The following is a 16,598-nucleotide window of genomic DNA, read 5'->3' as shown; positions in this document are numbered from 1 at the left end:
TTTCATTAAAAAATTTATTTTCATATAAAAGTGCCAAAATATCCACCAATGTCATAATCTATCTCAATAACCAGTTTACACTAGTAATCAAAACACAAGCCTCTTTATTCACATTGTTTAAAAATCCAATTATTTTCACACATTCCCACAGTAACTCGAGTCTCTAGACAGTGGGAAATTTGCATTCCTATTCGCTGTGGTAGTCCATATGTCCAGGTTCATATAGGCGCGAAACGGGTTGAACCCCGGGTAGTATTCCTTGCACACGACCGCTTGGTTTTCCATGTGGGTCGAATGTTCCGTGGTGGGGTTGATGGGGCAGCAATTTTCATACACATCGCTTTGCGGGGCCCAGATGGAACCAAAAAGTCCAGACATTGGAGACAAGCTTCGGGTGCTTGTGAGGTAGGGCTGAAGTATAAATGAGGAAGGAAAAATAAGTTAAAAGAAAAAAAAAAGCCTTAGAAAGGTGAATACACATCAGCGAATACTACAATGCTATCAAGTTACTTGGAAGTTATTAGACTACTCTCAATTTAAATCTGGGTTGCTTTAACTCCATTTTTTCTCAAAGGGAGGATTGTGAAATCCTCATCTAATGGGATGAACTTATTTGCAACCCGGGGAAGAACCCACAGGCCAAATACCCTTTATCTGGAAAAAAACAAAAACAAGTGTCAAGCGGATGTGAAAGGAGAAGCCATCGGGCTTCTGAGCAGGGAGGGTGTGCTCACAGGCAGGGAGCTCTGGGACCCTGACCACCCACTGACCTTCCTGGGACTTTCATCTCGTATCGGTGAAGTAAAGATCAGTGAGTCCACATAAAGACAGCTGTGTCACACAGAGGGCTGGCCCATGTTCAATTTTATCTACAAAGGACCATTGCTTGGTGTGTTTGGGGATGTTTTTCATTTGGGGTGGCCAGAATGTCAATGTCTGCAAGACCCCACCCATCTAATTATTACATGTCAGTTTCCTTCAGAGGGTGGCCAGCCCTGGCTTCTGTGATCTAAAAGAAGCAAGCCAGGCTTTGGCTGGTCCAAACCCAACGCTAAAGCTAGCTGAGACCAGGATTAAGGAAGCAGTGGAAACAATTCAGAGCTGCCCAGGGGTTCACGGCACAGGATGGGCAACACTGACCGGAGAGCTGATGAAACTGGCATGTCCCCAGGCAGCAGGCATGTTGGGTGGGGTGTTCCAGGTAGACTGAGAGTTGTGATCAATAAAGTCTGTCTGAACATCTGCAGGACAGGGGAAGCCATTGGCATAGTTCATGTTTTCTACAAAGAATGGGAGAATATCATCATAGGTAAACATTTTCATTGAGAACTGAATTCTCACTCTCAGGCAAAAAAGCTTTCAAGGTCTCACTATACTGACAAGTTACAGACATAAATACTTGGTCCGTGTGGACCAGGAGAGTCGTTGCAACATCATTCTCAAGATTAAAACTTTTTATCAGACACACAACCTGGGAAGCCCTCAATGTGGAAGGTCTTCCTCCTGGCTTGTTTTTCTCTATTTGATCACTTGATGGGAATCTTTCTATTACACAAAATACATTAAAATACTACTAGATATCTAAATAGTGTCAAGGTTCTTGCCAGTCTTTAAAATGTTTTTATTACCTGTCATGCCAACCTCAGCGACCTACACATATATCATCTGGGCTGATACAGCAATCCAAAACCAAGGACTCCTTAGATACCATTAAGAACATAATGAACACAGACCCTCACAATCATAACATTCCCAAAGCACCCCCTTGTGGTTAGCATGGAGCAATGCATGTATCAAAATCTAGATAAGAATGATACATCCCTTCCCTGAAAGGGCAGCTCTAGTATAAGAAACCATGATCCAACAGTAGTGCACAATAGAGCATTTTCCAGTTGACCAGGGATATCCCATAGCTCTCATTTTTTTATTATTACAGATGCTTGAGCCCAAGCATCTGCAATTTTCCACAATTTCCCCTCCAAGCTTCTTTCCTTCCTTCTGCAGCACCACCCAAGGGCAGAGAAGTTAAGGACATAATAGGAAGCAGGCCAATGTTTCTATTTCACATGGGACTTGACTGCCTAAAAAGAAGAGCGAGCAGCTAAAGCCCCGGCTTCCCAATGGATACCCAACAATGTTACATCTACATGGATCCAAATGACCTAGTTCTACCTAACTGGAAGGACTAAATGGATTAGGGTTATTTTTGAAGCCCCCAGACACCCAAAATTGAGGGCTTTTTGAGGGTCATATAAAATTATATATGGCATCAGTGCACAACTGGATCCACATGAAGCCATTCGGCAGTCTACTGCAAGCTCATTCTCAAAGTCTGCTCGCTGTTAAAAGGATTCTTCTTAGTCCACACACTTCCTGCTTTGACCTTCTAAGAATAAAATAATGGCGTTGGGATTGTCTGAAGAGCCCTTACCTTCTGGAAAGGCATTGTAATCGTTCAATTCCAATGGACAGTATGCGCTGGAAAACTGGCCTTCGCATGTTGCACTCCAATCAATGAAACTGCCACAAAAAACAAGTGGTCTAATCAGAAACAGGATGTCAAGACATCAAGTAAAGAAAATGGAAAATGATTTTACTGCCTAGCATCCTAATCACTGTGAATTCCCCAATTTTGGAAAATAAAAGATGTACTTTCTCAAGTCACAGAATCAAAGGCTTACTAAATGCTGATCACTAGTGACATGCCATCTGCAGGATGGACGGCTGGACTAGGAGCACACTTGTTTTTAACTATGCTTGTTAAGTCTAACTAGAGACAGAATAGAGAGCCGTGGCTTTATCAGCACTGTGAAAGAACAGCTGGAATACCTTTAAGTGTCTTTGTGCACATCTGAAGGACTTAAACATGTTCCATTAAAAACGTCCACTCAGAGCAAGACCAGCATTCATCTTAGACAAGCATAACTATAAAGACTATACTTCATTATACTTTGATCCCTATTGCAACCTAGATTCTTATTATAGAAATGAGATAGGAAATACTGTTGTAATAAGCTGAACCAAGAAAACCATCAAATGGATTCTGTGATTAAATATCTAACATTTTCTTAAGACTCCCTAATAGAATGACATATTAATGTCAAATAGCAAATTTGAGAAACTGCCATTGTGTAACTATTTTTCAATATTCAAATTATTTGATCTTTTAAAACTTTAAATTTGGGCCAGGTGTATTGGCTCATGCCTATAATACCAACACTTCGGGAGGTCAAGGCAGGAGGATAGCTTGAGACCAAGAGTTCAAGAGCAGCCTAGGCAACAAAGCAAGATCCTGTCTCTACAAAAAAAAAAAAAAAAAAATTAAAAATTAGACCAGCATGGTGGCACACACCTGTAGTCCCAGTTACTTGAGAGGCTGAGGCAGGAGAACCGCTTGAACCCAGGAGTTCAAGGCTGCAGTGAGCTATAATTGCACCACTGCGCTCCAGCCTGGGCGACAGAGCAAGACTCTGTCTCTAAAAAATAAATAAACAAACGAATAAATACAACGTTAAACGTGTTCAAGAATAATGCCACAGAAAAATGAACAGCTTTGCTCTGCTAGCAGTTAGGAATTATGAGTGTTTTTTTTTCAAATCTGCCTCTAATATATGAAAAAATCGTCTTTTTTAAAGACGTTTTTAAAAAATAACGACACTGTCACCAGCTTTCTTTCTTTTATTTCATGTTTCTCTCAATGCCTGGTTTAGTCCCAGTGCAACTCTAAAAGGCAGAAGGAAACGCACAGCTAAAGTACACCAAGGAAGAAGCCTAGCCTTCATTTTTGTAAGGAAACCCTAAGAAACTGAACTCAAATTCCAACTGCAAGCCCTTAGACTAAGCAAGGCACCAATCAGAGAAGTGAAGCTGTACCTATTATGAACCGGGGCCGACTCCTGAATCACACAAGGCACGCCGTTCTCCAGGGTGCAGTTTAAGCTGCTTGTCACACACACTGGCGGAGTGGGCCACAGGTCTCCAGGTGAGTAAAGACCTACGGAAGAGAACAAGGCCTGAGTCCACCCTATCCTCACCTGGCCCTCATCCTACCCTTCCTGCACCTGCCCTTCCCTCCAGAAAACACTCCCTAATGTCACCCACACATGCTGACTAACTCCTTTCGGAATATAATTTCAGGATATAATTCTGAAATACAGCATATTGTTTTGACCGTTTCTTCAGACAGTGTCCGATTGTCTCTTGACCTGGATGACAAGATGAGACTCACATAACAAATATTTGAGGAACTACTTTCTGCAAGGCCCCATTAAAGATACTGAGGATACAGCAGTGAACAAGCTACATTCAAGTGAGCAAAGACAAACAACAAACAAAGTGTAGCATGCCAGATAATGTGCGTGCCATGATGGCAAATACAGCATTTTTTTTTGGGTGGGGGGAGGGATGGTCTCACTCTGTTGCCCAGGCTGGAGTGCAGTGGTGGCATCTTGGTTCACTGCAACCTCTACCTCCCAGGTTCAAGTGATTCTCATGCCTCAGCCTCCTGCGTAACTGGGACTATAGGCACACACCACCATGCCCAGCTAATTTTTATATTTTTAGTAGAGACAGGGTTTCACCATGTTGACCAGGCTGCTCTCAAACTCCTGGCCTCAACTGATCCACTGCCTCGGCCTCCCAAAGTGTTGGGATTACAGGCGTGAGCCACCACGCCTGGCCAAATACAATGATTTAAGATAGGATGGTCAAAGGCCTCACTGAGAAAACAGCTCCTCAAAGACGTGATTGACGTGAGGAAGTGAGTCCAGTGGGTACAGGGAAGCACATTCCAGGCAGCAGAAACAGTACCACAAAAGCCCTGAAGCAAGGTGTGCCTGGGGAGTTCAAACAGCAAGGATATCAGTGTAGCCAGGAAGGAGAGGGGAAAGTGGAAGAGTAGGGGATGAGGCTATAGAGAGCGGATTGGGAGCAGAGAAGACAGAGCCTGTGGGCCCCTTGAAGAATTTAGGCATTTACTTTGAAGCTACTGGAAGGTTTTGAGCAGAGTTGACTTCTTGGACACAAGTCTCTAGGGATCTCTCCCATTTCTGCCAGAGGCACTGGCAACCTTTCTCCTGGACTATCTTTTCATAGATGTTTGCTAAGCAAAAGCCTCGGAACATATAGTGTCTCTTTCTGGAGCAAAGGGCAGGCATGCTTGTTGCCTATTATAAAAGCTTTGGGGTCCCAAAGCTCAGGGTTCTTCTCCTGTAGCACAACCCACTGTGTGTGGCATCCATCTAGGGCTGTCTGAGTCACCCCTATATTAGATATTAGATATTCTGTGATTAAATATCCCCATGGGGCTCAGGGGAACTCATGCAAAGAGGCTGGTGCTCATGCAGTGGGCTTGCCCCACCTATATTTCAGCTTTATGTGGAAAAATGGCAGGTACCCCTCTAGGGAAACTTTATCCCCCACTCTGCACCTGAAGTGAAGTTGTTGGCTCAGTGGGCCCTCAATTCCCAAGGGCTCCCTTAAATGCCTGGGCCTGGCTCACTGATGGCTGGATCAGGCTGAAATCAGACAGCATCTACTGGGAGGCTGCAGCTGTCCCACCTCAATGCCCACCATGCAGAACTGAAAAGGACCACAACCATTTTGATCAGTGGGCAGAACCCAAAGTGGTTCTCACAGCTCTGGCTAATTCTGCCCTGAAGAAACCCTGCTAGGTGTAAACAACTCTCAGGCTATTGCCAATGGTTTAGGTGCTTGGTCTGCCACTTGGGAAGCAACAGATGGGCAGATTGAAGACACTGTTCTCCAGGGCTCTGAAATGTGAAAATGGATCTTGGCTTCTGATTAAACCTTACAGCCAGTCAAGATAGAGGTCCTTGGTAAGGGTATGTTCTCCACTGCGGCCAGCTGGAATCAAGATACTGATCAGGTCTGCATCACCCAGGCTGCCATTGTTGTTGCCTGGGTGCATCATTGCCCCAGACATGGCAACACTTCCAGCATCACACAACGGGCACACAGTAGGCTTCCTGGAAGGATAACTGGTTCACGCACATCCTATGGGCAGTAATCACTAGGAAGGAGCTATCCAGTTAGAAATGGCTGGTATGGAATTTGCTGATACTAGCTGAAGTGACTGAAGACAGCACCTGGTCCCTGGAAGGCATTTGGATCAGCCTCAACTCACTGGCCGTGGTTGTTACAGATGACAGAATGGCTCCAGATGTTCTCCTTGCAGGCCAAGGTGCAGTCTATGCAATCACTAACACATCCTGCTGTACCTGGAGTAATGCCTCTGGCCAAGTGGAGAGATCAACACAGAAACTTAAAGAGAAAGCCATCTGGCTCTCTAAGGTAGACCCTGGTGGTCTGTGGGATTTGTTCAGCTGGTTGGGTCTGAGACTCTAGGGCATGGCTGAGGTCAATACTGCAAAGTGGCCTCATCCTGCTGCGTAGGCTCCTGTGGACAGCCGCTGTTAATAAATGTATGAGACAGACAAAGCAGATTGGTTCCACCTTCCCTAGGTCTGATTAAGAATTGCTTATGGAATGATGTACGCATGTGAAAATCTACCAGAAGCCAGGGCTACATAGAAATAAGGGGTGTGTATGTTGTGAGACAATTCTCCCTGGGTCTTTCAGGTTTCTGTGCTTCTTATGAGAAGCAACACTGGCTCCTTTATTCTGACCTATCTTTCCCAGGGCATTTGTTATGCAAAGTCTCAGAAGGAAGAGTGTCTCCCTTTGGGGCCAGGCACAAGTTTGCTTCAAGTACAACACAATAGAGTGAATGTCTCCTGCATATACATTTGGTAGTTGTCTGGGTCAAAGAAAGACTCAGACCTTTGAAAGTGGATGAGATCACCAAGAAAGTGTGCACAGACAGAGAAAAGCACAGCACCAAGGCCTGCTCTCTGGAGGGCTCCAGGGTCATGAGGTGGGGAGATGGGGAGAAGCTGGGTCAGGAACCTAAGGTCTACCAGCCAGAATAGAACGTCCAGTGTCTGTCACAGGCCAATATGGGGACTGAAAAGACTTAACCAAGCACTCAGCAATGTGCAAATCACCAGGGACCCCGACAGCACGGTTTCAAAAGAGCAATGGTGGCAAAAGCCAGATTACAGGGGTTTCCAGGGAGGAGAGGAATTTGAATGGGCAACTCACATAATTCTTCTAAGGAGTCTCCTAATGACAGGGGCAGAGAAACAGAGCAGCCACTGAAGAAGGCAGTCAAGAGAGAGCTTTGGCTATTGTTGAATTTTTAATGACGGGAAGTATTATAGTAGATTTGTGTGCTGATGAGAATGACCCATTAGAGAAAAACTGATGATGCAGAAGGGAAATCTGCAGTAATACCCTTGGAGAGAAGGGCTGCACTGACAATTCTTCAGGCTACAACAGGAGAGAGGCAGAGAATGGCATGACATGGTGGGCTGGTGGAGAGGGCAGTGGGAGCTTGCTGAAGGCCTGTAACCACTTCTCTCTCTTCTAGTAAAGCAAGAAGCAAGATCAAGTAAACGAGGCACGAGGCTTTGGAACTGTGGTGACAGAGGGGCAGGGCGGGAGGACACAGGCACTATGTGAAGTGGGTGGTGGGGAATCCACAGGGGCAGCTGGCATGGGGAATGCTGCTCTCCAGCTTCACTTGCCTGCACAGGAGCAGGTGGGGCACTAGGCAAAACCATGGCTGGGGCTTTGCAATAAAGGGAGAGGAGTCGAGGAAATGACTGTAACAATGGATCAGGCCATTTCAGCTGGGCAAGAAGGAAAACACGGCTGTGAGGGAGGTGAGGGAGTACAAAGGTGATGGGCCCACAGCTTTGCAGGCAACAGACTGCAGACAAGATGTACTCTGTCAGTGGGGCCAAGGTAAAGGCACTTGAAGTACACACACAAACCTGGGTTAGAACACCAAACCGCACGTATATCTCCAACTGATAGCAAAGCAGAACGGCACATGCTGAAGGGTAGATGCTCTGACAGTTTTTATTTTTCCACACCATTAAAATCCTACCTTTCTCTCACAGAAAAAAAGGTAGTACCATCTAAACCGCCCCCACATCTTGCCTTTGCAAACTATGGATTATTTAATTTTAGATTTTTTTAATTGAAAACACTTATTTTACTGGACTAGTCACTAGGTTCGCTATTTCTGTTGATAACTGGACAAGTCCAAAATTCATCCAAGGAACGACATAAAGTATTTCACCTTCAAGGGTTAAAATTCTCCAATGTGCAGAGCAGCTTTTAAATCCAGTGTTAAATTCTATGACCAAAAGCAAGTATGTGTATTAAAGACACAGAGAATAAAAATCAGGTTTATCCTGCCACAATTCCTGACCCACGTTAGGCAAGAAAGAAGCCCTAGAATCAAACAGAAAACAAAAGACAAAGAGAGGCAGAAGAGGAGGAAAAGAGAAGAAAAATGAGGGAGGACTGGAATTCACCTCCCATCAGAGCCCCCAGGCAGGAGAGGTTTCCTTCCCACCCATTCCTACTTCCATGCACCTAGGCAACTGCCTTCCCCGCAGGCAGAAGGTCTCAGCACTGATGCCTGAGCAAGGCGGGTCCCCAAGGCTGCTGAGGCTGAATTAGTAGGCTTCTAACACAAAGTGAGTTGGGGAGGAAGGGAAGCAGGCCAGGGAAAGTGGTAAGCAGGTGAGGTGCTGCACCCTCAGCCTAGGCACACTCCCCAATCAGCCTCCTTCCCTTGGGCCACGCATCTACCTTCTGTACTTTTCTGTCATCTCTGACTAGGGAAGGTGAACTAAATGAATCAGGAGTCTGCTGTGAGGGGCCTGGGATTATTCCAGGACATAGGGCATCTGTGCCTCAGCTGTAGGGAGGGGGCTCACTATTGATGCACAAGGTCAGCTGGGGCCCCAATGATGCCCGTCCACAGAGTAGGTGCCTTCCTGATGTATGAACGTGTGGCTTGCAGAAGGGGCTGGTGGGGAAATGGCCCTGTCCCACCCCGCCTGCTCTGTCTTCTCAAACTCATCAGCCAGGAATACAGACAGCACAGAACCCTTGGCTGATGTCTGCAGCAAGACGAATGCATCTCACCTTTATCTTCTTCAACACCTGTGGGCCCGGCAGGAAGGCTGGGACAGGAAGGCTCTGCGTATTGTGGGAGACTATTCACGGTCCTGTGGGGAAGAGGGCAAAGGAGGAACGACTCATTTTTTCTGCACGAGGAAATACTGATATTGTATAACCACGTCTGATTGAGTTTTCACTCAATTGAAGTCTTGGGGAAGAGTTTCTTGGGGAAGAAACATACAGATATAAAGGATGTAAAGTTACACAGCCAGAAAAGAATTGAGGAATATTAAATTCCCAAATCTAGCAAAGTCTTGTCATAACCAACAACAAAAAAAATTAACTAACATAACTATGAGGTAACCTGTGGTTTTAAATCTACCCGTCAGGTAGATTTTCAGACAGGTAGCCACCTGTCTGTATTTCCAGGTAGTTCACCTTCCCTAGTCAGAGATGACAGAAAAGTACAGAAGGGAGATGCGTGGCCCAAGGGAAGGAGGCTGACTGGGGAGTGTGCCTAGGCTAGCAGTTAGCAGCAACTCTTACTCCTTTGCTGACAACCTACCCCCAATAAACCCATGAAGAGCTTTCCTGTGCACTAGTCAAGTTTCCTTCCTCACAAACTCACCCTCTTAACTGCATCCTTTGTCCTCTTACCAAGAGGGAGGTACCTAAGAAACCAAGTTCATTTCTCACACTGAACTCTCCTCCTTCTTACCCACGCTCCTCGTCTCTCACTCAATAAATTGTACTTGTTTATTTTGTCCAGTGCTGCAGAAATCATCATAGGGCAGAACTGGAAACATGTATCTACTAGGTTCTTGCAAAATTTCCTCAATTATCAATGCTCAGTTTTATTTCAAGGCCTAGCAAAGGGTAAATGATTCCCATCTTTATAATAACTACTGCTTCCTCCTTCTATATTCAGAAATAAGGTGTTCTTTTCTGAGACAGGATCTCGCTCTGTTACCCAGGCTAGAGTGTAGTGGTGTGATCATAGCTCATTGCAGCCTCGATCTCCTGGGATCAAGGGATCCTCCCACCTTAGCCTCAGCGAGTAGCTGGAAATACAGGCATGCGCCGCTACGCCTAATTTAAAAAGAAAAAACGAAATTCTTTTTAGAGATGGAGTTTCATTATGTTACCCAGACTGGTCCTGAACTCCTGGACTCAAGAGATCCTCCCACCCTGGCCTCCCAAAGTGCTAGGATTACAAGTGTGAACCACCACGGCTGGCCTCAAAACTTAGGTATTTTCCAACGTGGCTACCTGTCTGAAAAAAAATAGCGATACCTGAGCCTCTCCCACATGAACCATGTTTACTTGCGCCACTCCTGAATTAATAAAATCAGATTTTACTTTCCTGCATCTTTAAAAAGTTTTCATATTTTAACCTGCAGAACCAAGTACAAAGAAGAAACACAATAATTGGTAGAAAAAGCAGTACACAAAACATACTGTAAAAGCTGGAAAATAAAAAACTTACATGGGATTGCAGATGTTATGAGAAAGATTCAAGGAGATGGGAGCTTCAGAAGGAAAATCATTTTGTGAAACACTGTCTCCTGCATTAAAAGAAACACATTATCACAAGTTTCAAAAAGTACACTTCAACTGTATATTCGGTATTAAAATGCATAGGTTATTAATATCATTAATGCATGACTGATTTTTCACTTTAAACTGATATTCTCACATTTTTTAATTAAACATTAAACATGAATCGTGCAATTATACTACAATTATGAACATTTAGGTATATTTCTTTACAATCTCTTTTTGTTGTTGTTGTTTTGTTTTTTTTGAGACAGAGTCTCACTCTGTTGCCCAGGATGGAGTGCAATGGTGTGATCTCGGCACACTGCAACTTCCACCTCCCGGGTTCAACCAATTCTCCTGCCTCAGCCTCCCAAGTAGGTGGGATTACAGGTGTGCACCACCATGCCCAGCTAATTTTTGTATTTTTAGTAGAGATGGGGTTTTGCCATGTTGGCCAGGGTGATCTTGAACTCCTGACCTCAGGTGATCCACCTGCCTCGGCCTCCCAAAGTTCTTTACAGTCTCCTTTATGTGTGTGTATATGTATAAAATTGGAATCATATTTCACATATACATTGTCTTTTGTTTTTTTACACCATTTATTACACTGGGGACATTTCCCTACTATTATATAACCTTCAAATGCAACTTGAAGACTGCATACTATGCTACTGTACAGCAACACCATTAATAATTTTCATCATTCTACTAATGTTAGCCTTTCCCTCAAGCAAAAGACACACTTGTAGTTTTTCTTAACTAATGTACCCCCTTTTTTTTTGTCGAGACAGAGTCTCGCTTTGTCACCCAGGCTGGAGTGCAGTGGCGATCTCGGCTCACTGCAACCTCCGCCTCCTGCCTCAGCCTCCCAGTGGCTGTAACTGCAGGCGCTCGTCACCACGCCCAGCTGGTTTTTGAATTTTTAGTAGAGATGGGGTTTTGCTACGTTGGCCAGCTGGTCTTGAACTCCTGACCTCAAGTGATCTGTCTGCTTCGGCCTCCCAAAGTGCTGGGATTGCAGGTGTGAGCCACTGCGCCCGGCCTCCATTTTTAAAATCCCACACTGGAATCATCAGGCAAACCTTCAGTCTTCTGTGGTAGATGCACATGCACAGAACGTTATCAGTGCTGTGAACATTTTATGCGGGGCCATTAAGACAACAATGTCTAAAAAGGCTGAGCGAGACAAGACAGGGAAAACTGAAAACGCGGAGAACTGCTGAGTGGAATCGCGTACACGTGGGCACTTCCTCTAGGTTTTCATGGCTGCTACTGCACTAGTCTCTCAGACAAGACTTTCTTTTAAGGTCTCACTGCTGGTGGGAGAGAGAAGAAATAGTACAGCTTGCAGGCTGCTGAAGGAAATTCTCTATGGCTTGTGTTCATCATGTAGAACAGCCCATGAGGAGAATAGGAGATGAGGTGGGAAGTGCACTGGGATCTGGGGGAAGAAGCCCGGGGTTCAAGACTCAGCTACTGACTGCATGGTGTCAAAGGATTCGGGCATCCTCTCTGAGGCTGAGTCTTCAGATGACAGTGAGAACAGGGACACCTGCCCTGCCCTTCTCACGGGGCGTGTGGGCACCCATGAGCATGCTTGACAAATGCAAGGTGCCATACAAACAGGAACTGCACAATCTCACCACCCTTTCTTTTTACTAAAGTTAAAAGTTTACTATGTTGAAAACAACAGTTAAAAGGAATGGAACTACATCTTCATATAGATGTAAAGGTAAAAATAACAATGCTGAGTAGGCCGGGCGCAGTGGCCCACGCCTGTAATCCCGGCACTTTGGGAGGCCAAGGCGGGCAGATCACTTGAGGCCAGGAGTTAGAGACCAGCCTGGGCAACATGATGAAACCCCGTCTCTACTAACAATACAAAAATTAGACGGGCATGGTGGCACATGCCTGTAACCCCAGCTACTTGGGAGGCTGAGGCACAAGAATCGCTTAAAACCGAGAGGCGGAGGTTGCAGTGAGCCGAGATCCCACCACTGCACTCCAGCCGGGGCAACAGAGCAACTCTCTCTCAAAAAAAAAATAAATAATTAAAAAAAAAAAAAAACTGAGTGAAAAGAGCAAGATGCAGAAGGCTACACTGAAGTATGATTTCATTTATGTAAGTTAAAGACTAACAGTCAATATTTTGTTGATGGATATATGAATGTAAAATTTAAAATGGACTAAAAGTACCCAGACCAAATTCATGACAGTAAACAGTGATTCTCTTGGGAAGGGAGAAGTGAACAGATGATTTAAAAAAAAAAAAGCAAATATGGCAAAATTAAGAGTTGTTAGTTCTGGGTAACTGAAACACAGATGCTTCTGTGACCTCTCCGACATCTTTAACTTTCTCAAACTTTCTCAAAAATAAGGGACAGCCAATGTTCACAGCAGCATTATTAGAACAAACCAAAAGGTGAAAGTTATCATCCAAGTGTCTGCACATACAATGGAGTATTACCCGGCAATAAAAGGGAAGGAAATGCTGACACATGCTACAATGTTTTTGAACATTGAAGACATTATGCTAACTGAAATGATCCAGTCACAAAAAGAAAACCATACTGTGTGATTCCACTTACATAAGATAGCCAGAGTAGGCAGATTTATAGACACAGAAAGTAGAAGAGGGGTGAGCAGGGGTTACAGGGAGGGAGCAATGCAGAGTTATTGTTTCATGGGTACAGTTTCAGTTTTGCAAGATAAAAAATACTGGAGATGGACAGTTGTGATGGCTGCACAATGTGATGCACTTAGTGCCATAGAAGTCCACACCTAAGAAACATCACAATGGCAAATGCGGTGTCATTAAGAATGTACAAATGACAAACTAAATACAGAAGCTCTCTGAACTATTTCCAAGACAGACACTAACAAACAATGATGATGATTATGACAAGGATGGAGGGGAAGGGGGAGGGAGGAAAGAAAAAGAAAGTGAGTAAGTCCAAAGCAAAGGTCAAGGCCACTGTCCCATCTGTCCTCTGCACTCCTGAAGGCAGATCGAGACTGTGTGGACTGGGTACGTGGGAGGGCAGAGGGAAGGGCCACCGAGAGTGCCTGGGGCTCTGCTCAGGACTCACCGGCCGGCAGGAAGTGCTGGGCGTCCACCATGGGCTTCTTATCCCCGTCGGAGCTGCTGGTGCTGCTCCAGCTCCCCCAGCTGCCCCGGCTGGCACGCACGCTGCCAGAGGAGCTCCCACAGTCAGAGCTGGAATCGGAGCAGAACTTGTCCACACATTTCTTCTCAGGCTTCTGGTAGTAACCTTCTGGAGGAAGTGAAAGGAGTCATGTTTCCCTGAAACAACTGTCAACCTCATGCATTTCTAACAGAAAGAGAGAGGTGACAGGAGGAGTAGGGCCAGGTTCACCTTCAGCTACCTCTGCTCATCTAGCAAGAAAGGAGGAGTTCATGGAAACTAATGGTTGCACTTTGAGAAATAATAGGGGATGGGCCGTCTACTCTGCCTATGGCAGGAGCAATTAGGGGCTAAGAGGGCCAACACCAACTACATAAGCATGATCTAATAATGATTCTAGAATTAACAAATAACTTATATCAAGAAGACTGAGGCTACTCTATTGCACCAGAGATTCATAGGTGATTTTCCCCCTCTCTTTTAATAAGATATCCACTAAGAGTTTCAAAATATTGATACATGAATGGGAAGACTCTTCAGTAAGACCAAAAGCAACACACACGTGTCAAGGGAATGAAAAAGAGAGGGTGGAGATAGAAACCAGCTAAGTGTGCTGGCCTGTGTCGGGACATGGGGCATGCGTCTGGAGAAAGTGGGTGTTGGTTGGGAGGGTTGCAACCCCCACCACCCCATACCCCACATGTACTGCCCTAGCCCCCACTATCCGGTACCAGACCCTGGACTCAGCACTGGGTGTCCCTCTGCCTACCACTCCCAGGGACACTGCCCAGCAGGCCTTGGGTGGGGCAGCAGCATGGCTCTGCAGAACTGCTGGACTCAGGCACGGGGGTAGCACTATCTCACTTGGCTACTCCCCCCTTTCACCAAAGGGGACCTATCTGCAGCAAGCAAGCATCATTCCTTCAGCAATATGCCTGAGGATAGTTGCGACTGGCCAGACTGGGGGGCTGGGGGGCAGCACTAGAGGCCTACTGAGACTCAACCAAATCTTAGTTTTCTGGTCTCACCCTGAAAGCTTTCCACTGGGGCTTTAGTTATTAGCTAAGTTGCCTGTAGAGATAAAATCACTGAGGTGTCATTTCTCTTATTAGATACTTCATTGAGGAAACAAAAATTCCCACAGAAGCACCATTTGTAGCTCAGTATCATTACATACCTGCCTCTCTCTGGGCAGCAGGTAAACTGCTTGCAATTTCGGCATCTGCTTTACAAACCTCCCTAGTGCTTTCCTGTATACACCAGCTTCTTACATTGATGTCACTGCTCAGCTCAGACCTCTCAAAGTCACTGCACACAAGCTTTAGATCACTCTGTTCAGGAGGCCTGGAAAAGACACACACACACAAAAAAACACATCTGTATTTTATCATGTACACATGCAGACTTCCTTTCCATGACACTTATTAGAGGTGAAAATATGAATCTGGGACAATAGGAGTCCTCCTCTCTTTGGGTCTGGTGGAAGAGTATGATGAGCAGAAAGGGATACCAATAAGAAAATGATTTTGTCAGGGAAATTAAGTGTCTCAAAGAAGCAAGGTTTCCAAGACAGAGTGCCACACTGCCTGGGTTCGAATTCTGGATCTGCCCCTTACCAGCTTGTCAAACCACATATTGTCTGGGTACCTCACTTCCTGCAGCTGTAAGAACCTACCTTCTGCAGGACTGAAGCAAGGGTGACCTGAGGGGTAACTATTCTGTTTCATTATTATGACCCCAGATAGCGCAGGTGGGTCAGTGGCTGAACAGGGAACAGCAGAGGCCTGCCTGTGCCCCGTGGTTTTCTCTAGTTCCTGCTCCACAAATGCCCCTGCCTCTCATAAGCAGAATGAAGGTCTCCACACGGAGGGATGGCTTATGCTTTTCCCCTAAAAACTACCAAATCTGTTAGCATTTTATAAAGGAAAGATACAAAATGGTCACTTTAAGGTATTTTTAACAAAATAAAAACATAATGGGAAAATGTTAATTTTACAAATGTATTTTAATCTTAAGAGATAAACATTTACACTCTCATATTATCGGTATCTAATATCACCGAAATAAGTTTAAAAGTGAATAGCCAAATGCAAAATTATAAAGTGAAAAATAGATCAAAATATTAGAGATAGTAAGAATTACGCACCTTGAGACTGGAGCAACACCCCTTTTCTTGTTCTTTCTACATGTTCGACTTTTACTCCAATTTAAATTTTGTAAATTTCCTTCTCTTTTCTCCTGAAGCTTTTTCTTCCTATAAGGATCTTCTTGCTAAAGAAGAGAAAGTAAATGTTTAATGGTTTAAACTAAATATGAATAAAAACATGTTTAAATGTTTGAAGACCAACTCCATCTGAATTCAGAATGTCCCAGTGCTGTTGAAAACTGAGAAGTATGTTGCTCAGCCTCTAGTTTGTTTTCATTTCCCCTCTTGCGCTACTTCCCTCAAGCTCCACAGAAAAAGAAGAAAAAAGAATTGTTGCCTATAAAATTCCTAAGAGGCTAAAAAGGAAAAACATCTGCTAGCAATTTATGACCAGCTTGCTGTTAACTTTGCAGCAATAAATCCTCCAACCTTCACCTGTTAATTTGGTATGTGCAACTCACATAAATTACTGTACTATGAAGAAAAATTAGGTAAAAACTCAACTTAGGATCAAGTTGTGTCTTTATGTTTTTGTTTATAGACGAACTTTAGGAGAACAGCCAAATCTCTATAGAATGCTCCAAACTAGTGTAAGCTTCTCAGGTAAATAGGCAAGAATATGCCTGATGTTTCAAAAATGTGGTTCTGAAAAGCATCAGCATGAGATGCATAAACATTATATACATAAGTATTAAATAAGTATAGTTTCCTCAATTGGAGCCTTTTCCTCTTTTCAATGTCAGGCATGGTCTATTAACAGACCCAAC

The 16,598-nt window shown here is 44.5% G+C and overlaps 1 protein-coding gene across 42 annotated transcripts in view; it reads right to left on the bottom strand.

Annotated features, from left to right (window-relative positions):
* TMEM131L (transmembrane 131 like) overlaps window positions 1-16,598 on the bottom strand; it is a 170,352-nt gene continuing 153,754 nt past the window's right edge. For 15 of the 42 annotated variants that reach the window (XM_047449899.1, XM_047449917.1, XM_047449900.1 and 12 more), the window contains 10 exons: window positions 15,832-15,956; window positions 14,863-15,029; window positions 13,629-13,814; window positions 10,487-10,565; window positions 9,025-9,107; window positions 8,168-8,224; window positions 3,874-3,994; window positions 2,432-2,520; window positions 1,141-1,280; window positions 1-411 (listed from right to left, as the gene is read on the bottom strand). In XM_047449899.1, coding sequence (XP_047305855.1) covers window positions 136-411; window positions 1,141-1,280; window positions 2,432-2,520; window positions 3,874-3,994; window positions 8,168-8,224; window positions 9,025-9,107; window positions 10,487-10,565; window positions 13,629-13,814; window positions 14,863-15,029; window positions 15,832-15,956 — 1,323 coding nt within the window. In that variant the 3' untranslated portion in view covers window positions 1-135. Of the gene's footprint in view, window positions 412-1,140; window positions 1,281-2,431; window positions 2,521-3,873; window positions 3,995-8,167; window positions 8,225-9,024; window positions 9,108-10,486; window positions 10,566-11,565; window positions 11,632-13,628; window positions 13,815-14,862; window positions 15,030-15,831; window positions 15,957-16,598 lie in introns of those variants that run through there. The other 27 variants (XM_047449902.1, XM_047449920.1, XM_047449903.1 and 24 more) reach the window with 5 other exon arrangements.

The sequence above is a fragment of the Homo sapiens genome, chromosome 4 (assembly GCF_000001405.40).
Source record: "Homo sapiens chromosome 4, GRCh38.p14 Primary Assembly".
In the NCBI taxonomy this organism is placed as follows: domain Eukaryota; kingdom Metazoa; phylum Chordata; class Mammalia; order Primates; family Hominidae; genus Homo; species Homo sapiens.
Note: the sequence above shows the minus strand (reverse complement) of the source record. Positions and strands in the feature narration are given on the sequence as shown.